A 23,244-nucleotide genomic window follows, 5' to 3' on the forward strand; every position below is an offset into this window, starting at 1 on the left:
TGGGTGTCCCAGAGGTATCCAAACAAATACCCATATGCTCTGTTCTTCCTACTTGTAAGCACCTGACTTACCTCCAGACTCAATCTTTATACCACTGTATCCACTGATGATGCTAATCCTAAGTAACAAATATGCTTGTCTATGCACCCCCCAAAGATGGTGCCATTTGTAAGGCAAATAGTTATGCACCATTACCTTCTACAGCTTGAGGCATCCATTGCACAAGGAACAGCTGGGCAACATCACTAAGCCACCGATGGTAACTGAGTACAACCTCGGTTTATCAGTCAGACAACGGTGGTTTTCTTAATGGGAGTGGTTTTTCAACTCTAGTATTTGGAACTGTGAGTGAGCATGTAAATGAATGCATTTGCTCCAGGAAGTTGTTCACAGGACTTATTTCGAGACCTGAACCTTGCATGAATTGCTCCTAATCACATTTAATCTGGAAGTATGTCCTGAACACTCTACCTTCAAAATTCATCTTACATCCTTTTACGTCTCCCTATCTCCAATCCAGGACCCTGGTCTAACCCCAGATATCATCTCTTGGACTCTGCTAGCAGCCATGGAAATAGTACCCTGCTTCCATCCCCGCCTCTTCTCATTCCATTTTTCAAGTATAGACACAGCTTAAGGGACAAACAAGATTCAAAACATGAGATTTCCAAAAGTAAATTTTCAAGGTACTCCTATGGGAAAGCGCCGTTGAGAATATCCTTCTCAGGTTTAGCACAGTCCCTCAAGGTAAGCACCTTCAACCCTGCTTCGACTGCAAAGAGTTCTTTAAGAAGGTATGACTGAGAGGTCTCCGCTTTTCCTTCTTCCTATTAAAAATGGCTCTTAGATGCTTTTATTCTTAGTGAGGCCATCCTATTGTAGCACCAATATAGTTATATAAGCGCATCGTTTCATGCTCTATTCACCTTCTGAATCTTTTAACCCCACCTCCCTCAGCTGAGAAAAGAAATACTATGGGTTTAAATCTATCCTCTATCAGCTGCAGCACGATAATTCTTACCCTAGGGCCCCAAACCCTCATTTCAGACGGACTAATCCAAACCTCTTTTGGAGGCAATGCTATTTCCTTCACTACCTGGTTTGGCCGTGTGCTGAGCCCCAGTTATATTTAGGCAGTGGAGGGGAAAAATAGGGATATTAACCTCTAACACTGATGAAAATAATAGCCACAATAAAATCCAGATGAAAAACGCAGGGGTAGTAATTATTCGGCTCTACCTTACCCCAGAGGAAATAGTTTTCAGATAGAGCCTTAGAAATTTGTAAAAGGCTGCTCCATTTTTTAATAAGGCAGGTGTAGGGGCTTTCTGGAGGCAGAGGAGGGTTTGCCAGAGTCTCAGACAATGTGCCATTAAGTGATGGGGCCCCCAGTAGAACCCTGCTCCTCTCCCTCAATTCTGGAGAGGTTGAAAAATCTGAGGATGTAGACTCTTGGAGCCACTTCCTTTTTCTGATCTATCTGGCAGCAGCCTAGTGTGGAAAATATACTAGGCTATATTTCAAATAACCTAAACCAACTGGCAAAAGGTACTAAATTCTTGCTTTTGTGTCTGGCTCTTAAACTCCTGCAGACCTGACTTAACAGACAAGAGAGGGTCATAAAACTGAACCTGTGAAACAAAAATAGACCTTTCGGGACTTCTCATACACACACAGCAGGGATGCCAAAATCGCTTTCATTTTTTCATGTTGCAAATCGCGTTGTGCTTCCTCCACGTCCTCCTGGGTCTGAGCAGGCATGGGGAGAAGGCGACTTTCTTTGCACAGCATGTCTATGACTGAAGTGTGCAGGGCTAGGAGAGCTTAAATTGTTAGGGTCCCGTCTTTATGTAAAACAACAACTCCACCTTCCCACAACCTCTCCATTTCCGTAATTAATTTCAGACAGCTAAGACGACATGCCCCAGTTCTATGCGCTACTCTAACTGCTGTGGTTTAAAAAAGGCTTTATGCTTTAAGGTTTCCTCTTTCAGAAATCAAATAATTTAGATCTTTAAAAAAACATACACAAGTGCCTTCTGGCTATCGACGACAGGGAGTAGCAATAATAGAAAATAATAATAGTAAAAATATGCAACCGCGTTAATGCCAGGGACCTGGGGATGCAATAGACAGAAATGAAATTAGAGGGGAAATCATAATATTGCTGAAGTGCTCGAATGCGGCTCTCACACTAAGACCAGGGGGATTGGGATAAGGTAAAGTTAATTGCGTTTCCAGATGACAAACCTCTCACCTCTGAACTGAATGGCTCTTTATAAAAGCTATCAGTAATAAACTGTAAATCTCAGCCATGATTGCAAATAAAGGTCATCCCTTTCATGCTGCCACTTTCCTAGGCCTTATTACATTCCCGCCTGAACCGTTCGCACTTCTTAAGGTGTGCCAGCTGTCCATATAAGCAATCAGTACGGCCTGCTTGCTTTATTTTTTTTAAGGAACAATATTATCAGATTTACATCCATGCACATTGTGTACCTGAATTGGGCCAATCTCCTCCTCCTGGAAGGAAGGCAACATCCGGAGCTAGGATTACTCTTCATCTTCTCCCATGAACGTAGAGGAGGTATTGCATTCCCCTATTTCACAAGCTAGCATCACCACGCTTTGTAAGAAGGAACACACACCATCTAACACATCGATCCTAATTGCTGTGGTCCTGCCACAATTTCCCTTTCTCATATGTGCAGGGCAAGGATCCCTGTCCTCCGCCACTCCCTGGATCAATGAGCCTCCTTTAGAAAGGTGAGTTAAAGGCTGGGCACGGTGGCTCATGCCTGTAATCCCAGCACTTTAGGAGGCCAAGGCAGGAGGATCATGAGGTCAGGAGTTCAAGACCAGCCCAGCTAATATGGTGAAACCCCGTCTCTACTAAAAATATAAAAAATTAGCCAGGTGTGGTGGCGCGTGCCTGTAGTCTCAGCTACTCAGGAGGCTGAGGCAGGAGAAGCACTTGAACTTGGGAGGCAGAGGTTGCAGTGAGCCAAGATCAAAATCACGCCACTGCGCTCCAGCCTGGGCGACAGAGTGAGACTCTGTCTCAAAAAAAAAAAAAAAAAAAAAAAAGCTTAGTTAAATCTAATTTAACAGAATTAAGAAAACATTTATTTATTTCATTTCTACTACATACATGACACTGTCCCCAAATCTTTTTTTCTCCGTGCATCTTTCCAACTGTATCAATGATAACAATGGCTGATACCCAATGAGTACTTACTCTGTGCCAGTTATGGTGCTAAGCACTTAACATCCAGTACCTCATCTAATCCTCACACTTGCTATGTCTGGGTGACATGTTATCTCCATTTTGCATGTAAGGAAAGTGAGGCTCAGGCAGGTTACTGCCTCAGGTTGCCAACAACTGCAAGAATCAGAACTGGGACTTTTTTTTTCTCTGTAGCTAAAGGGAGTATCTGGAAGGGATTGAGAAAGATGGAATGTCACAAAATAGCAAAGTCAATTCCTGGATGTTAAGCTGACTTCCCAGAAACTCACTCTGGCTACACTGAGCCATGTTCATGCCCTTGCATTCCAGCCTGGATGACAGAGTGAGACCCTGTCTCCAGAAATAAAAATGTAAAAAATGAAAATGAAAAAAATAATATCAAACAAAATAAATATTTTTTAAAAGCTCACTCCCATGAAATAGAGCAGATGTTGAAAATGACCCATGCTGAGGAAGAGAAATGGCTATACCAATAATTCTTATGCAACAACTCTCATCTAAGAGACACCACATAAACCACTACCTTTACTGTTGAAGGAGTGTTAAAAAAAAAAAAAAAAAAAAAAAAAAGCATTGGACTTCAACTCAAAATGAAATCTAGTCCTAAATCTATTTTGATGTCACTTACCATTTGGGCATTTATTCATTTGATCACCAAGTGACAAGTTAGAAAATTGCTCTGTGAGATTTCAATTTCTCTGTTAATTACCTTACCTTGTCTACAAAAGTTGTATTGAATGGATGGTGAAAATATTTTGCAAAATAACATGTTCTTCAAATACAAGTTTAAAATCACAATAATTCCCTCAGTGGTAGCAGCAATATGTATTAAGCTGCTGTTTTAAGCTGGGTTCTAACTATTTTCCAAAGTCAGACTTAGGAAAAATCCTAATAGGTGAGACCTACCACTGGTGCATTTGCTTATTATCTATTCAAAATGACAGTCATTTCCCCTGCATGTGCCTCTGCACAGCGCTAAATTCTAAAGGATTTAGAAAGGTCTGAAGCGCCTTGCTGTTGCCTTCCAAGAGCTTACAGTTTCTTCTGATGAAAATACAATGGTAAGACGGCAATGCAGGATTGCTGGCTCCAAATAACACCAGAAATCATATCAATCCAAAAACAATGACTAACAGTCTGTGCCTGAGCCGAAGAAAAGTCAAGATCACTTCATATTAGGGAGCATCTGGGAAGTTGAAAGTAGGAATTGTTCTTCTGTGGAATATTAATCGTTAAGTTTCTAAATGGAAAATGCACAAGTGAGTAGAAAATGAGAAAAGCTAAAACTGTTTTCTCTGAACACCTAGGATTCATCTGCTCTAGAATAAGCCTGAGTGTCCCCAGCTCCGCCCTAGGGTGGGGGTGGGTGGTCCAGATGGAAGCCCCACCAGATGGCTCCAGAGTGGCACACAGAACCCGTGTCTTGCATTTGGAACACAGAAACCAGCATATGGCTATAGCATTCCCGAGCCTCCCAACATGTGCCAAAGTATATCTTGGGAATTCTGGGGGTGATTTTTTTTCTTTATCGACTGAGCTCAAATTCATACATTCAAAGACCACCACAGTAAAATCAGTAAATACAATAATGCTATGTTGGAATGAAACACTATTCAGTTATAGTAATTGCCCAGAAATTAATTTTTAAGTTAGTGATGAAAAGAATTCATCTGAGAAAAAGACAACAATGACAATGATGAAGAAAGAGGAGGAGGAGGTGGTGGTGTTTCATTCTAGTATGGAATCATCGAGAAGAAAATCCAAAGAATGAGGTTGCCTCTCCCGGGTCCTAAAATCCCACACATTGCTCATTTATTCATTCTCTCATTTACCCTGCCGTGTCTGCCATGGGCAAGGTGAAACATTTAAGACCCACAAAGATAGATAAGGTCCTAATCTACTAGGACCACGAATCATTCCACAAATGAAACTCCAAGGCAGAGAAGCACCAGTCAACAGTGAAAGCAGAAATGCGTTATGCTCCCGTTGTACAACAACAAAGATACCTTTGATGAAACAGTAATCCCAAGCCTTTCCTTTTTTTGAGAAAGAGTCTCGTTCTGTCGTCAGGTTGGAGGGCAATAGCGCAATCTCGGCTCAATGCAACCTCCAACTCCCAGGATTTAGCAACTCTCCTGCCTCAGCCTCCCGAGTAACTGGGATTACAGTCATGCACCAGCAACACCCAGCTAATTTTTGTCTTTTTAGTACAGATGGGGTTTCACCATGTTGGCCAGGATGGTTTTGATCTCCTGACCTCATGACCCACCCGCCTTGGCCTCCCAAAGCACTGGATCCCAAGCCTTTCTAAGACTTTTTTTTCTCTCTTCACCTAGCGCAGACTATGAAGTCATGACTGAGATAGCTTCTGCCACCAGGGACTCCTTCCTGTAAACCAGCAAAACTCACTGCATTTGAATTTTTTTTTTTTTTTTTTTTTTTTTTTTTTTTTTTTTTTTTTTTTTTTGAGGCAGAGTCTTGCTCTATCCCCCAAGCTGGGGTGCAGGTGCAGTGGTGCGATCTTGGCTCACTGCAACCTCCGCCTCCTGGGTTCAAGTGATTCTTGTGCCTCAGCCTCCTGAGTAGCTGGGGCTACAGGCATATGCCACCACGCCTGGCTAATTTTTGTATTTTTAGTAGAGATGGGGTTTTGCCATGCTGGCCAGGCTGGTCTCGAACTCCTGAACTCAGGTAATCCACCCACCTCGGCCTCCCAAAGTGTTGAGTTTATAGGCATGAGCCACCGTGCCTGAACTTTTTTTTTTTTTAAGACAGAGTCTCACTCTGCCACCCAGGCTGGAGTACAGTGGCATGATCACGGCTCACTGCAACCTCTGACGCCTGGGTTCAAGCATTTCTTGTGCCTCTGCCTCCCAAGGAGCTGGATTACAGGCATGCGCCACCACGCCCAGCTAATTTTTGTATTTTTAATAGAGACGAGGTTTCGCCATGTTAGCCAGGCTGGTCTCAAACTCCTGGCCTTAAGTGACCTGCCCACCTGGGCCTCCCAAAGAGCTGGGATTACAGGCACGAGCCACTGTGCCTGGCCTCATTGCAGTTGAATTCTGATGCAGACTCATCATTCTCTGTTAATTTCTTTCCATTTGTGAATAACTTCATATTTTAAGAGTGGATATATGTGCAGAGTGCCTGCCATGAAAGTGCAACATAACTGCCAAGTGCTATTACTATTCAAAGGCTGCTTTTTTAGATACCTATTTGCTATTTACAGAGAAGTCCCTGGGTACACATGAAAGGTAATATCAGTTACTCAATAACAATAATGAAGAAGACTTGCATGTAAAAGCTACAGCTTTTGCTTCTTCTATATTAAAAGCTTTAGCAGTGATTATGATGAACAAAAGAGAAAGGGACCATTTGCTTGGGAAGATGAGGAAATTAATATAATTTGGGAGCTCTCAAGGAAGTCGGAGTGTTAAACCTAGTTACTTTGTTTAACACTCCCTGCCTCATTACCTGAGCAAGAGAGCAAGCAACGTAGCTGTATAAATCTGGAATCACGATGCTTTTTTCCGTGAGATCCATGATTCTCAAACTTCAACATTCATCAGAATTTTACCTGAAGGCCTTTGTAAGGCTCTACCCCCAAAGATTGTGATTAAGCAGCTCGATTATAAGGCTAGAGCCTGATCATTTGTGTTTTTAACAAGTTCCCAGGTCACGTTGCTGCTACTCCTGCATCACACTTTGGGAACCACTGGTGTAGATCATGGTTTGGCAAACTATGGCCCACTGCTTGTATTTGTAAGTCACGTTTTGTTAGAACACAGCCACACTCATCATTTGCATAACATCTATGGCTGTCTCACACTACAGTGGCAGAATTGAGTCATTACAACACAGACTGTGTGGCCTCCAAAGTTAAAAATATTTACTACTGGGTCCTTTACAGAAGAATTGTGCTGACTTTCAGTATAGATTATAGCCAGAGTCATAGGAACTTAGAGCTGGAAGAAACCATCTTTAACTTGATCCTCTATTTAATAAACAAGAGGTCGGGCGTGGTGGCGCATGCCTGTAATTCCAGCATTTTGGGAGGCCAAGGTGGGCGAATCACGAGGTCAGGAGTTTGAGACCAGCCTGACCAACATAGTGAAACCCCGTCTCTACTAAAAATACAAAAATTAGCTGAGTGTGGTGGTGTGCATCTGTAATCCCAGCTACTCAGGAGGTTGAGGCAGGAGAATCGCTTGAACCCAGGAGGTGGAGGTTGCAGTGAGCTGAGATCGTGCCACTGCACTCCAGCCAGGGCGAAAGAGCGAGACTCCATCTCAAAAATAAAATAAAATAAAATAAACAAGGAAGGCTACCCTGGAAGTTGAGAAAAGTTCAGACTAAAGCCCAGGCAGGGTCTCCATTGCCCAGTGCAGAGTTCTGATCTCTACAGAAAGACTCTCTTTGGTCAGGAATGGTGCTTTAGATGCTCAGCTGGCTCTGTACAAAGTTAACCGTACACGGAGCTCCTGTGTCCAAATGACAAATGTAAATCTTGAGACCTATGGAGAGATAAAGCTTGAGCCTCTGTTTTGTTGGGTAGGTGAATCCAAGTGCTGATACATTAGGTAGTGACCTACAAGGCAGAGACCTCTAACTTGTTTTAGGTCACAGAACGCTTTGGAGAATCTGTCAAAAGTTACAGACTTTCTACCCCAGAAATATGTATAACACATGCAAAATTTTACATGCAATGTTAAAGGGCCCATTATCCCTGGAAGCCTACTCATGAGCAGCTATTTAAGGTCCCTAATTTAGAGGAGGACTTGAAGGACGCTTCAAGCCTAGCTCTTTTCTGGTGGCAGTTATTCATCTGCCATCCTTCCCCTTAGAGAACATGAATATCCTTGAGTGAAGTGTAGTAGAAGCATGGGCTGCCCACTGATTATCTGTGGCTCCCCTTGTGGTTAGACGAGGCCAAACGAATAGGTCTGAAAAGTGGGCTCTGAGCAGGAGTGACAAGCTTAACTGCTGAGTAGAAGCATTAAAAGTTGGCGCATGACCCTCTGGTTCTGCCCTTGTCTGCAATAAAGGAAATCCTGGGTTCCAGGTTGTATGCTGCAAGATGACAGACCTGAAAGACTGGGTCCCTGAATCACTACATGGAGCAGACCCTTATCCAACACTGAGCTGAGTGAAATATGCACTGTTTCTTAGGAATAAACTGTTGTGTTAAGCTTCTGCAAATTGGGAGTTAATTTGTTACCACAGCACAACCTAATCTATTCCAACTAACTCAATAGGTGAAAACTTCAGGATACATAATTCTATGGGATTCTCTATTTTCCCCAACTTCAGATGCTGGGGCAATATGGAAGTGCTAGTTGCCAGAGAGAGAGGGGGGCACTGAAATGGAGGCCATGGTGAGCAGCCCACTCCCAGCTTCATGTCTAAGGCACTTATTCTCCAGCTGCCCGGAGAGTTGGCTTTGATGGCTCAGAGCTGAGTACCGGGCCAAGATGAGCCACCCCAGGCACAACCTGCAACCAATGACTAGTTAATGTGCTTATAAAGGCCCAACCCTCATTCCCCAGTTAGAGACAAATCTGTATGGCCAACCCAGCCTCAGAACTCCGTATGGGATCTGCTGAGGCCTCTGCTGCAACTACGCCACTGTTGAACTCTTTCCTGTGTCCAATCCCATTTCCTTCCCTCCCTTAGTCATGTTGTTCCCCAGTGTATGTCCCCAAAACCTCCTTTACACAAGTCTCCACCTCATGCTCTTTCTCTTTCTGGAGAACCCCATCTAAGGATGACACCCAGGAAAGAATGGGAGTTTAAGGTGGACAACAGTCAAAATTCGTTGTTGCTTTTTTAACCTGGAAAAACCCCAGAGGGAAAGTTGTGACCTATAGCATGTGGGAAAGTTTCCCATTTTATTCTAGGAAATTGATGATTGATTCATTCAGATTCATATATTTTCTGTCCATTGTTAGTCAACTGTAAATCAGTACTGATTGCAAATTATAACCACAGCTAACACTATGTACCAGTCACAGTGGTAAGGACTTTATATGGATTAACTCATTTAATCTTTGCAACAATCTGATGAGATAGTTACTACTATCATCCCATTTTCCAGATGAGAAAACTAAAGTCAGATGCCCTGCTCAAGGTCATACAGCTAGTAAGAAGTAGGAAATTACATAGAGTTGTCCTCAGCACTGAGTTTCACCTCACCCTGGACTCTACCTGTTTCAGCTGGTAGCATCCATACCAGGTTGATGCTGTTCCTAAGAACAGGAACCTGTCAAACCCTGGGTGTCTTTAGAAAACAAGGAAAGGAGACAGAAGGGAAAGCAAGAAAGGATGTTCTCTAGATGGGATGCCTGCATGAGCACAGCCTCACTGAGAAAATGGTGAGGGCAGCAAATCACAGGAAGATGCCTGGCTGTTTTGGAGAGATGGCAGGCAAAAAAAAGAAAAAAAAAGGAGACAGGTAAGCATTTGGGCTGTGGAATCATACAAAGCTATGTGACTTGAGTAAATTACTTAACCTCTCTGAACTTCAATTCCATCATCTATAAAAGGGGAATAAAAGAGATAACATCTCAGGATGGTAGAAAGGATTAAACGATAAAATACATATCAAGTGCTTCACCTACTAGATGTGCTTAACATGCTTAACATATCTAGTGCCTGACACCTAGAAAGCAATAGCAATACATGATGATCATGGGTCTCTTCCTTAACCATGACCAAAAAAGAAAAAAGAAAGACAGATGCTGTCTTCCAAAATTGTTTTAAAATTTATTTTTTGGCTGGGCGCAGTGGCTCACGTCTGTAATCCCAGCACTTTGGGAGGCCAAAGCAGGCAGATCATGAGGTCAAGAGATCGAGACAATCCTGGCCAACATGGTGAAACCCCATCTCTACTAAAAATACAAAAATTAGCTGGGGGTGGTGGCACGTGCCTGTAGCCCCAGCTACTCGGGAGGCTGAGGCAGGAAAATTGCTTGAACCCAGGAGGCAGAGGTTGCAGTGAGCCAAGATTGCTCCACTGCACTCCAGCCTGGTGAAAGAGTAAGACTATGTCTCAAAAATTAAAAAAATTTTTAAAAAACTATTTTTAACAAAATAAAAAAAAAAATATATATATATATATATATACACACACACACACACACACATATAGTCTGAAAAAGCCAAGCAGTTCCATAAGTCCTCTAATGAGGAATAGTGGTCCCATGCTTCACGTTCTTCCCACACCTAATTCCTGCTTCCCAGAGGAAACCACTTTCAGCTCTTTTAGTTGTTTCTTCTGGTATTTGCCTCCATGTTTCTAACTAATCTGTGTTTACTAATGTTTCCTGATTTTCTCTTAAAATATTGTTTGATTTCAAACTATGGAAAACGAGGATTCAAATCTCTTACAATTTGTAAGTACATCATGTGTGCACATGAACACACATAACATTCTCATTATATAGTTATGTAACAGTTTTTAGTTACAATACTATTTGCTGTATACATTATAATTGTATTAATAAACATTATTCACAAATAAGCCATGTGGTTTATTATAACTACAGTTCTTTTGTACCAACTTTTTGTTTTTCCAAGAGTTAGTAACATCCTTGCTTTTCTGTCTGCTCTGTTTTCTATGTATCTACCAAAAATTTATCCCCAAATTCTTCCACATAAATGAATTTTCTGTGAATAAATTTAAATACATCAGACAATCTATCTTATATATCCTAGTCATTTTTTGTTTCTCAGAGATATCTAGAGCTCTAGTCTTATTGCTGTAAATTAGATTGGGTTTCTAAAAAGGCTTCTGCCCTGCAGTCACTCTGAGATGTCTCTTCACCATCATCCTGAGAATTCCATTTGCCTCCTTCTGGTGTTCAATCACCTATTCCCTGAATACTCATGAGTTCTTTTTTTAGGTTTCCATCTTTATCGGTATAAAGGTGGGGTGGTGGGTGCAGGGTAAATCCTACCCTCATGCTTAAGCAACACTTTGGCTGGGCATTAAGTTCTACACTGGAAATAATTTTTACTCAACATTTATTATCTTCTCATTTCCAGAGCTTCTATTGGGAAAGCTGATGTTATTCATATTAGGTCTTCTCTCCTCTCTGAAATGTTTAATCCTTGTTTATATGAAATTTCTGCCATATTCATTTGTTGCCTGGGTACTTTGTAACCATTTCTAATCTTGAATGATTTTTTTTTTTGAGATGGAGTTTCACTCTTGTTTCCCAGGCTGGAGTGCAATGGTGCGATCTTGGCTCACCACAACCTCCACCTCCCAGGTTCAAGCGATTCTCCCACCTCAACCTTCTGAGTAGGTGGGATTACAGGCATGCACCACCACACTTGGCTAATTTTGTGTTTTTTAGTAGAGACGGGCTTTCTCCATATTGGTCAGGCTGGTCTCGAACTCCCGACCTCAGATGATCCACCTGCCTTGGCCTCCCAAAGTGCTGGGATTACAGGTGTGAGCCACCGTGCCCAGCCAGAATGATTTTTTTTTTTAACAGCATCCTACTCTTATTTCATGGATGTGGCCTCTTCCTTTGTGTCTCTGAATACTTTAATTTTGTTTATATGTTTTCTTCTACTTTCTGCACTGCTTCTGTTTCCTCTGAGTTCATTTTTCTCTTTTCTTCCCCCTGTAATTGTCATAAAGTTTCCCTCAAATGTCTGGATAAGCATTTTCTATTGATTCATATTATAAAATGAGACACATAAAAAAAAACTGTTGGAAGCTCTGTGTTGTGTTGGTGGTCTCTGTGTTCAGGAAGGGACCTGGTTGTTTCTTCGGGATCTCAGCTGACAGTATCTGTACATCTTTTATCTTGGGCTGGTGAATTTCCTTAGAAGGAGGAATCCTCTCAATTCCAGCCTGGAGGTGATAAGCCTGGACAACAATATCCTCCTAACCAAGTGGCAGGGGGGGCCAAAGAGGTCTCAATATTTCAGATGCCAACCTCATTTCATTCCCATGTGCATGGAATAACATCCCTATTCCATGGGTGCCTGATACCCCAAGTCAGAGCCTGTTCAGCCTCTCCAAAGCTCCAGGCTTCTGATGAATTTAGGGAAAGAGGTCTTTGCTTAGAAGAACAGGGTGAGAGAGTCCAGAGGATCGACTGTCTTTTATGCAACTTCCAGCCAGTTGTCCTATTCCTAGCTCTTCCCGTACCCATACCCACAGAGGCAGCCAGAGCCTCCAATAGCTGAGGTTTTCATGTTCCAGCACCTCAGACTGGCTCAATTCTTGGTGTTGTCTTTTTCAGGCATGTGGTTTCATCTTTCTGTCATCCACTAAATCAGTTACCATCAGTCCAGCTTCTAGAATTTTAGTGACATTTCTTTTGTGCCATAATTTCCTTTTCTATGCTTTTTGTCCTCAAGATTGTATGCTTTTTCATACTTTAACTGTCATTTTAGTAAGGCTTTGGGAGAGGGTAAAGAAACTCATGTGTTCAAGCTGCCATGTTTCTGAGTTACATCTTCTTAGGAGATGCTTTTTGGCAAAGCATTTCCATCCTATCATTGGGGTGTTTCCTCTCTGGAATGCTAACAAATGATCATCACTGATTTATCCAGTGCAATATCAGAGGAGGGAAAAGCAACCAGACAGTGTAAACCCTTCAATAAAGCACCAGACACACTGTGATTAAAATGCACTCAGGAATCTGTATGGTGGGTGCAAGCACGGATCAACCTCAGCAAGCGGCCCCATGCGTCCCATTTTGGATGACTGAAGAAAACTGATGGCAACAATATAAGTACTGTTCAGCTGTCCAGGATGTTCCATGGCCTGGCATGTTCTGTGGCTCCTGGTTGCATCCTCTCTAAAATCCTCATGCCACCATTAACAATTTGGGTGAGACCTGGATTCATTAGGTATTCAAACAGCATTTGTTTAGTCCTAGGAATGAAGGGAAATAAGTTTCATGTAGCTTCATCTTAATGAAAGTTTATTATGTGGTAAATCTGATGTAATTTCAGGGGCTTGCCGCCTTGAATGATGGATGCACTATCTGGCATAGGAATCATAAGAAGTGACTTCATAATGTACTCACCACAAATCCCAACACTGGATAGGCCTACTCTATAAATTTTCTGCCTAAACACTGTCACTGTTTTCTTAAAGTGTGTGTGTGTGTGTGTGTGTGTGTGTGTGTGTGTGTGAAAGAGAGAGAGAGAGAGAGAGAGAATGTAGGGGAATGCACATCATTCTGTCCAGTTTTTGTATCGGTCAGGGCCCAGCAGGAAGCAATTCACACGCATTCCACTGGGGTAGCTGAAGAGAGTTTAACAAAGGGACTGTTTGCAGAGGTGCAAGCTGAGTTTAAGGAAACCCAGAAGGAACAGTGGAGCACTCTGGGAGCTAAAAAACAACATGGTGCCCTCACCACCGCTAGATCTGAAGGTGCCACCAGAACCTGGCAAGAACAGTAGCTGTAGGAGAAGGTGGCACACAGGAGCTGTAGGCTTCAGTAGAGAAAGACAACCAATTCTGAGCCAGGTAGGGAAGAACCAGAGTAAAATACCACGACCTCACTCTCCTCCTGCCTTCCATTCTTCTGCTGAGCACTCTTATTGGACAAACCAAAGTAGAAACTAAATGGCAAAGGAAGGTAGCATTCAGTGGATAAAGGTCATCCCCTGGGCTTGGAGAGAATAGTAGAGAGGGCAAAACACCCAGCACAGGTTTATATAAGAGACTTCGTGTCCTTGGACTCCTCAGAAGAAATAGAAGTGATCGTGTCAGGGTTGGGGGTAGGTGAATACCCAAATTATTATACAAAGTGACTTCACAACAGACTTCTCTTGTTATCATGCCTCACATCATTACTCTTGTGTGTTGTATGTCTGCTCTGCCCATTAGGTCGTAAGTTCTGGGAGAGCAGAGGTTATGCTTTTTAGTATCCCCAGCCCAGTGCTTAGCACGCAGACAACTAGTAACAACTGAATTGAAAGAAATCACACAAATCATAAATCACCTCAGTTTCTCTATCTACAAAATGGGAATGTAGGGGAATAGGAAAATATATATATATCTATATATAGATATATCTATATATAGATCATGAGGTCAGGAAATAGAGACCATCCTGGCTAACGTGGTGAAACCCCATCTCTACTAAAAATGCAAAAAATTAGCTGGGTGTGCCGGCACGTGCCTGTAGTCCCAGCTACTCGGGAGGCTGAGGCAGGAGATCCGCCCACCTTGGCCTCCCAAAGTGCTGGGATTACAGGTGTGAGCCACACATGGGATCTGATTTTGGCATGTCTATAATAGTAGCGGTAAAAATAACAATAATATTTGCAATTCCTTCTAGCACTTTTATTCCAGACATCAGTGTGTTTATGTATCTATATATAGATATCTTATATATATCATATATATCTTATAAATAGACAACATATACAGATATCTTGTAGATATATATGATATCTATATGATAGATATCTATCATATAGGTATTTTATATATGGATAGATATGGATTTTTTTATTATTTATTTTTTTTGAGATGGAGTCTCACTCTGTCACCCAGGCTGCGGTGCAGTGGTGTGATATCAACTCACTATAACCAACGCCTCCCAGGTTCAAGCGATTCTCCTGCCTCAGCCTCCAGAGTAGCTGGGACTACAGGTGCATGTCAGCACACCCGGCTAATTTTTTGCATTTTTAGTAGAGACGGGGTTTCACCATGTTAGCCAGGATGGTCTCTATTTCCTGACCTCATGATCCGCCCACCTCAGCTTCCCAAACTGCTGGGATTACAGGCGTGAGCCACCGTGCCCGGCTGGGAAAAGATATTAAACTTCATGACATAACTGATTTCAAAGGCTGTAATCTGTAGGTTCAAAACACACTGATGTCTGGAATAAAAGTGCTAGAAGGAATTGCAAATATTATTATTATTTTTACCGCTAGTATTACAGATATGTCAAAATCAGATCCTATGTGTGGGGTGCTTTTAGATCACAGCAGAGGGGCAGATATGTAATAAATACGTTGCCAGGCAGCAATTGTACAGTCAAACCGTATCCAGTCAACAGAATGTGCTTCTTGGGCTTCAAAAATTTCTCTCTCTCTCTTTCTAAAATGGACACTCAAGCCCCGGGCTACATAACCACTGAGGTTTTATTATAAAATACATTTCAAAATAATGGTTCCAAGTCCTGGAAGCAGAGAAGAAGATGAAAAAGGAGAAGTAAACAAGGCCTTTTTCTCCTACTAAATGATAAATTCAAAGCAGCACTTTGCCGTTCTGCCTCATTTATTATCGCATTGCACTCTCGCCGCTGGAGTTAAGGTTGTGTCAGCGTTTCCATTATAAACCCCTATTTTCAAGGGTTTATAATTCAGCCATAAAAATTTGCTCCAGGCTGAAACTTGCCATGCAAAAGGTCTCATTGTAGGACCAAACTTAGGGACAAATTTAGAGGAGGGAGAATTGGGTTGGCTGTTCTGAGGTTAAAAATAGTAACAAAAAAATTGTCCTAATTGTTGGCACTTCTCTCAAATTCAGAATGTATCCTGGATCTTACAGGGATCTGAAACATCAAAAGGGGATAAAAAGGGAGTGTCTTTTTTTTTTTTTCATTTTTGGAAACCGTCATTATAGAGAAAAAGTGGCACTAGATACAGTTGTCTATTAAAAACCAACTTACAACATATATTCTTGCATCTGCAATTTACACATTGCTACTGGTTTACAAAAGTGGGTATCTGTTCTGTGCTTGTTTTTTATAAAAACTCTTGTAAAATGTGAAAAGGTGGATGCTTATGACTCAGCCACTGAGAGCTAAGCAATTTCAACTTTAAACATTATTTTCTGCCATTTCTCCTCTCTTTCCACCTCAAAGGGTATAATCTGCAAAGTAACTTTCTTCCTTTTATTGTCCCAACTCCAGAGATGTTCTAGGTGCTTTCTGTGGCATCACTTTGCCCTTGAGTACACTTGAGTTCCAAATGCAAGGCTGGTGGCCTTATTCTGGTGATGGTTGCCAATCTTCATGGAAATTTTATTTTGTTGGCATGTGAAGCTGCATCCTAACCATCATTAGATGGACACTGAGCCATGGGCTGTTGAGTTTTGTGCACCAAAGTTGCTCAGCAGAAATTACAAAGTTCCCTGGAAAATGAGAAACTCAAGTTTGCCTTGGCATCTTCCACCAGTCAGAACTGGAACGTGCCCACACATTCCTCACCAGAGTAGAGCGGCTTCCTGAGGTCACCAGTTTCAGGTACAATTCTTGTTGTGCTTACCTTCCACTCCAACCTCAGGTTTTTTGTTGTATTTTAGAGACAGGGTCTCATTCTGTTGCCCAGGCTGGAGTGCAGCGGCACAATCACAGCTCACTGTAACCTCAAATACCTGGACTCAAGTGATCCTCCCTCCTCAGCCTCCCAAGTAGCTGGGACTACAGGTTTGCACCACCACACCTGGCTAATTTTTCTATTTTTTGTAGAGACAGGATCTTGCTGTGTTGCCCAGGCTGGTCTCAAATGCCTGGACTCAAGCAATCCTCCTGCCTCAGCCACCCAAAGTGCTGGGATTACAGGCATGAGCCACCGTGCCCAGCCCCAACTTCTCTTTTGACTGGCAGAGTCCCAAGCTTGACGCCAAATGTATAGATCAGTAGTTCTCAAACGGTAGTGTGCATCGGAATTACTCCACCATCAATTTCTGATTCAGTAAGCCTGACCCGGGCCCAGAATTTGCATTTACTTATTTATTTATTTTTCATTTTTTAATTTTTTTTGAGATGGAGTCTTGCTCTGTTGCCAGGCCGGAGTGCAGCGGCGCCATCTTGGCTCACTGCGACCTCCGTCTCCCAGGTTCAAGTGATTCCCCTGCCTCAGCCTCCTGAGTAGCCAGGACTACAGGCGCACACCACCATGCCCAGCTAATTTTTTGTATTTTAATAGAGATGGGGTTTCACCATGTTGGCCAGGATGGTCTCGATCTCCTGACCTCGTGTTCCGTCCACCTCGGCCTCCCAAAGTGCTGGGATTACAGGCGTGAGCCACCGCACCCAGCCTAGAATTTGCATTTCTAACAAATTCCCGGATAACGCTAATGTTGCAGGTCTGGGAACCGCACTTGCAAACCACTGGTTTAGAACTTTCAAATATGTATTAATGAAAATAAATGAGTGTTATAGTATGCTAAATGGCATAGTATTCTCAAGTATTGTCTTCTCCAGGCCTTTCAAAGTATGAAGCCATTCAAGCTTACAGAGCCTTCATAGTAGTATAATGATTCGTAGTTTACAGATGGGAAAATTAAGAGCAAGAACTTTGTCTAATGCCTGGTGATAAATCAATGGCAGAGCCAGAATGAAGAATCAAAATTCCAGACTCCTAATTCTACCATCCAGGTGTGTTCTGACCTGTGCTGGCCAACTAGCCATTCTTCATAAGATTAAATAACAACATATGCTGCCCACAGATGATTTAAAATAGAATCATGATGCATTTAATACGCAGCATGAAAACTGAGCATTTTTATAGTCATACAGTATAAAGATCTATTTTATGTATTCACCCACTTTTATTTCCGCCATTGTAAAGCATGCCTTAAGAAATGCAACATGAATACGGGGGAATGAACTCATTTCCAGGGGCGGCGACCATGTGAGTCCAATGTCACCACAATAAAGCACGCCAAAAGAAGTGCCACAAAAATATCTAGGCAGCAATACACATGATCTTATCTCACTGCAGCAACCAAGAAAGGAGCTGGCAATACTAAATCACAGAAATAATGTGAGATGGAAGAGAAAAAGACAACTGTGGACAAAATAAGAGAGGAAAGTTTTATTAATTCTAAATACACTTTCCCCATTGGGTTTACGCTCGCATTTGTCCTAATAGGTTCCAGATGTTCAGCCGTCCTGTAAGTAGCTACCTAGGATAAAACAGTAGCTTGCCTCCTTTAAGTTAAAAGGGTGAAATTGTGGACCTAAGGGCTGATTTACAGTTTAGTTAAATCAGAGCCCACAGCATGAACGAATGGAGAATGGCAAGTGGTGGGTGAAGGTGAAAACGGTTGTTCGAAAAGGCTGGCGGCTCAAGGGTTAATACCAACCTTTTTCTTTGAAGGCAGCCTTCTGTAGTAGCTAATGAAGGTAATGAAATATGACATGTAGTTTGGCCCTTGACCATACAGTGCACCCCCCCCCTCCCCTCTCTGCTGTGAACAAAGCCAAAACAGATGTAGCAACTTCTGTATGGTTTGGGGTTGACGTTTGTTACAGAGAGCAGGTCACCCTGCACATTCCCAGAATGTTCGCTTCTGACACAAGCGGCATTATCTGAGAAAGATGCTGCCTTTGTTTGGGAGACGGGGAGAGAAGGGAGGGATGCAGACAGCAGACAGGGGGACTTCAGCTTATATGAAAATTAAGCCAAATTTCCCTCTTGTTCTTTGCCTTGGTTCTCAGCCCTCCTGTGCCTTCCTATTTCTTCCTTCTGTCCCTCTGTACAATGGAAAAACAAACAAACAAAAAAGGCATTCTTTCCTTCAGGGGGAATAAGATGTGGCTTTGCTTCAGCAAGAAAGCTTTCAACCAAGCTGAATTTTGTAGGAAAAAAATTTCTCTGTACATTGACTGTTGACCAATCTTTGAGATTCAAAGAAAGAGAGTGATACCTAAGGATGGCTTGGATTCTTATTTCTGAAAGCCACCTGTGTTGGTCACGTGAGACAATGAAAAGGAAGCATCTCCTTGGCAAACATCATCATTTCCAGGCTTCAATGTCAGCATCTGTGCCTGGTACCTTGATGCAAGCCAACATATCTCCAACGAAAATATGCTCCTTGCAATAAAAAGCACTTTGCTTGACTACGCGGTTCATACTAATTGTAGCTGTGCTGTATCTAGTTCCTTCATTCTTGAAGATCACTGGACTATTTGACTGTGTGATTCTCCTCCCTGCCAAGAGATCTCATTCAAGTGGCTTTCTTTAAAAAAATTTCATCAAGTCTTGCCCTAATACAGCATCTATTTTTTTTTCCAAAAGATCAGACCTTCAGAAAAGTTAGGTTTGGAATGAAGAGGAATAAGAGGAGGAGGAGTCCCGACAATTGACAGCCTGTTTCAAATGTTATTTCTCATTCTCAGCAGAGACGCTGGCATGTGCCTTTTGAAAGGGGATACTGTACCTTTAACCTTGACTCTGAACGCATTCTTAATTTGGGATGCAAGCTGAGGTTCAAAAATGGATAGCCTTTGGGTGGTGATTGGGGGGAGGGGTGTGGCTGGATTTATTTATGAGGCGTGTGGAAAATTTTGACATCACATGCTAGAGCCATTATTCACATGTTACATGACACGAGATTGGCCCTTTTAATGCAGCAACATCACATAAAAATTTGATTTTGTCCTCTGACAGCAGGCTGGTCCTCGCCTGCTCTCCAACCGCCCCCGCGAAATGTAATCTTTTTAGGTTAAAGGCCACGGGAAAGTGATTGGAGCAGGCTTTCATCAGACCCCAGAAAGCTGGGTTTGGAAGGAGCTCCCTCGGTCACCACAAGCTACAGGAGGGTGGACATCGAGGGCTGGTTGTGAAGGAGTGTCTTCCATGAGGAGACCCCTAGGCCACCCCAGACCCCCTCCCAGCCCTTCTCCACCACAGCTGCTCCCTGACGGCCAGGTGAGAAATTGGCAGGGACTCCAAGCTGCTCATCAATTTCAAGAAACATTCACTTCTGCGGCATATACTAGCCTAGCCTTCTGTCCAGTCAGGCAAAGCCATCTAATCTAATGAGATGTCTAATAAGAACCACCCTAGAGGGTAAAAGACACTCAACACCTTTAGGTTGCATGGTCCTTTATTCAAATTATTGTTGTTCCCACGACTGTGCTTTATAACCATGAGGCGATCCTGAGAGGGGACATAGGGACCCCCCCTTTGCAAATGACGCAACTGAGGCCCTGTAAGAGTAGACAGTGCAAACTCATTCACATCAAGTGGCTGAACCCAGATCTCAGACTCAACAGCTTTACATCTTTCCTATTTAACCAATTATTCTATACCTTTTCCTGCAACAGATGGGAGTCTATAAAGGGCTATCGATTAGACGCTTTTATCTCATTTAAATAGGGTTTACATATTACATAGAAATCTCTGTGATCATACCTCCCCCATCCAAACTTTGTGCCTTTCATTTTGGAATAATGTCATGGGGTACAGAAGTTCTCAGTTCATGTTCTAGGTAAATGAAGGGAGATGCCTCTGTTCATTACCATAAAAAAAGTGTCTAAAAATTGTGCCTTCACATGCTATTCATAAACACACCCAGGACTGGTTGGCTGCACTTTTATCGGCAACAAAACAATCAGCTCTTGGAAAGGAAGCTCAGTGCTTGGAACAAGTATTGGCTCAAGCAAACACATACTTCAAACTGACTCCTCTCAGTGTCATGAGCTGCCAGCCAAAGGAGCAGTAGTACACAGAGGTCCCAGGCTCAGACCGCAGCCAGGAGTCTGGGAGGAGGATCAAATACCCTGAGCATCTGGCTCTGATACATATGCCAAGAAAACTCTCTCCAGACTCCAAAGACTATTCCCATGACTTTGCTTTGTCTGGAAATTCCATTGCTTGAATAGAGCAGATTCATTCTCTTCGTTTTGAGGACCCCTCTTGCTCAGGCAGCCAAAGCAGGCTGTGTAACAGCTGCTATCACCATGTTCAGGGCCAAGACCTGAGAGGCACAAGCTCAGGCAGGTTGCAAACGAGAGTCAGTCTTCATTGGTTTTCGATGAGCCTGGAAATGCAGGCTTGGCTGATGAGAGATGACAAGAACAGAGAACCACCTTTCTATCTCATTAAAACCCTGAATAGAGAACCTTTCTATCTCATTAAAATCCTGAATAGAGAACCTTTCTATCTCATTAAAACCCTGATTGTCCCTAGGAAGAGCAGTACGACATGACAGGTGTCCTACAGAATCATGAAGAACAACGACTGTGGCCACTGCTGCCCAGTTTCCAGAATGACCTGTTCCCTGATTTGACATTGATCATCAATCCCTTAACTAACCCAGAATTGCATTCAGAATTTCAATTCTTTGACAACAGATGTTTAAAAGTGTGAGTTAAGAGGTCCCTCTGGGCATGACTGAAATACAAATTCTGCCTGGACACAGGAGGATAGATTAGATGGCCTCTCCCACTTCCTATTAGATTTTGCCCTGTGCTGCTGGTGTAGGTTGGACCCTATAAAATTGCTGATATTTCAATGCTTTTAATCTATAAAATTGGCAAATCCATAAGGTTCAGCCTAATACAGCCCTGAATTTGGTAAATAGATGGGTTTAACAAACGGCCATTGCGTGAATCACAGCAAATTGGGGAACAGCAGAGCTTGGGACATTATTTCCAGTAGAAAAATGTGTTATATAATGTCATGATTGTATTATGTAACAAGTACCTAATTTTCTTTTGCCTCTAAAATACAAAGCATAACTTTTTTATTATTCATGCTCAGAGAAAAAATAGTTATTTAAAATAGCACAAAGTATTACCCAAACCATTAAACCTTTTGCACAGCCACTGCCAATTTAGGGATGAAGATGAGGTCTAAAAGACAGATGCAAAGAGACTGGGGAGTATCAAGTCAACAAAACTCTAGATGCCTGAACAGTAAGAAAAAATAATGTTGCTGGTAGCAAAGAAATGAACCAATCTTGTCATATTCTCACTGTTTCTTCTTGCAGCCCATCATCCAAGGAAAACAGCCCAGGCAGTGGAAAATTACAGTTTTCCAATAAGAGAGACCAACTGCAGCTTTGTAGTTTTCATTTCAGAATGAGTACACATGTCATGTCAGAAGAGAAACCCTGGCAGGATCTAGAAGTCACCCGATGCCAGTGAGAGGAGGTGAGGACCTGACAAAGCTATGAGCGTTAGAGGGGCTCCGAGCCTGTGGTTGCCTCCACATATCGCAGTAATTGGAGTGCAAGGCAGGACAGCAGCAGGTCAAGGTCAGCCAGAGGTCATGGCACCTCTGCTGATGGGTTCCTTAATGGTCCAGATAATGCATGCTTCGGGGAGAGAGTGGGGACAACGACATAAAGAGATGGCAAAGGGGACCCAAAACTGGCTCACAGCTTGTTCATGAAATCCTGGGGTAAAACAACATTAACCCCTTCCTTGTTGGGGCTGTAACATGTCCTGGATCCCTTGCACTGAAGAGCTTCCAGGCTGAAGAAATGTTATGTGGAAAAGTGAAGGCTGAGTGCAGTGGCTCACGCCTGTAATCCCAGCACTTTGGGAGGCCAAGGCGGGTGGATCACCAGAGGTCGGGAGTTCGAGACCAGCCTGGCCAACATGGCGAAACCCTGTCTCTACTAAAAAAAAAAAAAATTAGCCAGGCAGGGTGGCACATGCCTGTAATCCCAAGTGCTTGGGAGGCTGAGGCAGGAGAATGGCTTGAACCCAGGAGGCAGAGGTGGCAGTGAGCCAAGATCATACCATTGCACTCCAACCTGGGTGACAAGAGTGAAACTCTATCTCAAAAAAACAAACAAACAACAACAACAACAACAAAACAGAAGTAGTGAAGCACTGTTTATGCAGTCCAGTTGTAGCATCCAAGATGAAGCAGCCAGTGCTGAGGCTAAAATTACTCTGAGTTTTAAAGAATCAGGTTACACATTTGCAGCAGTTTCCTGACCTGCTCCTGTAGGGCCAGAGCCCTCATGAACCTGTGTTTCTGGAACTGCACAAAGCAACAAATGGCAGAGGGCCCATGAGTCCAACACAGGCTGCTGGTTAAATGTTTAGGATTGTCAAAATGCAAAAAGCCAGTTCCGCAGAGGTTTAGGCCCAGGGAGGTCAGTGGAAATTATAAATCTGTGATGGCCAGAGAATGCCTGAAATTTTCAAGTATGATTCATTGTATGACAATGAAATTCAGAAGCCAACCACGGTAGAGGCAGGGGCTGGTAGAGATTTGGATCTACACTGGTACGGTGGAGAAAGAACCATGGGTAAGTCAGG

The 23,244-nt window shown here is 42.7% G+C and overlaps 1 protein-coding gene across 1 annotated transcript in view, besides 1 other annotated feature; it reads right to left on the reverse strand.

Moving 5' to 3' along the window:
- Window positions 1-23,244, reverse strand: part of ZFHX3 (zinc finger homeobox 3) — a 1,109,046-nt gene that overhangs the window by 991,561 nt on the left and 94,241 nt on the right. The window lies entirely within an intron of this gene.
- Window positions 16,849-20,222: an enhancer, noted in NCBI's record as "VISTA enhancer hs1612". NCBI's record gives its function as "enhancer in: somite[4/4] | limb[4/4] | branchial arch[4/4] | facial mesenchyme[4/4]" and the evidence as "EXISTENCE:transgenic organism evidence [ECO:0001131][PMID:17130149]".

This window comes from Homo sapiens, chromosome 16 (genome assembly GCF_000001405.40).
Source record: "Homo sapiens chromosome 16, GRCh38.p14 Primary Assembly".
NCBI lineage: Eukaryota > Metazoa > Chordata > Mammalia > Primates > Hominidae > Homo > Homo sapiens.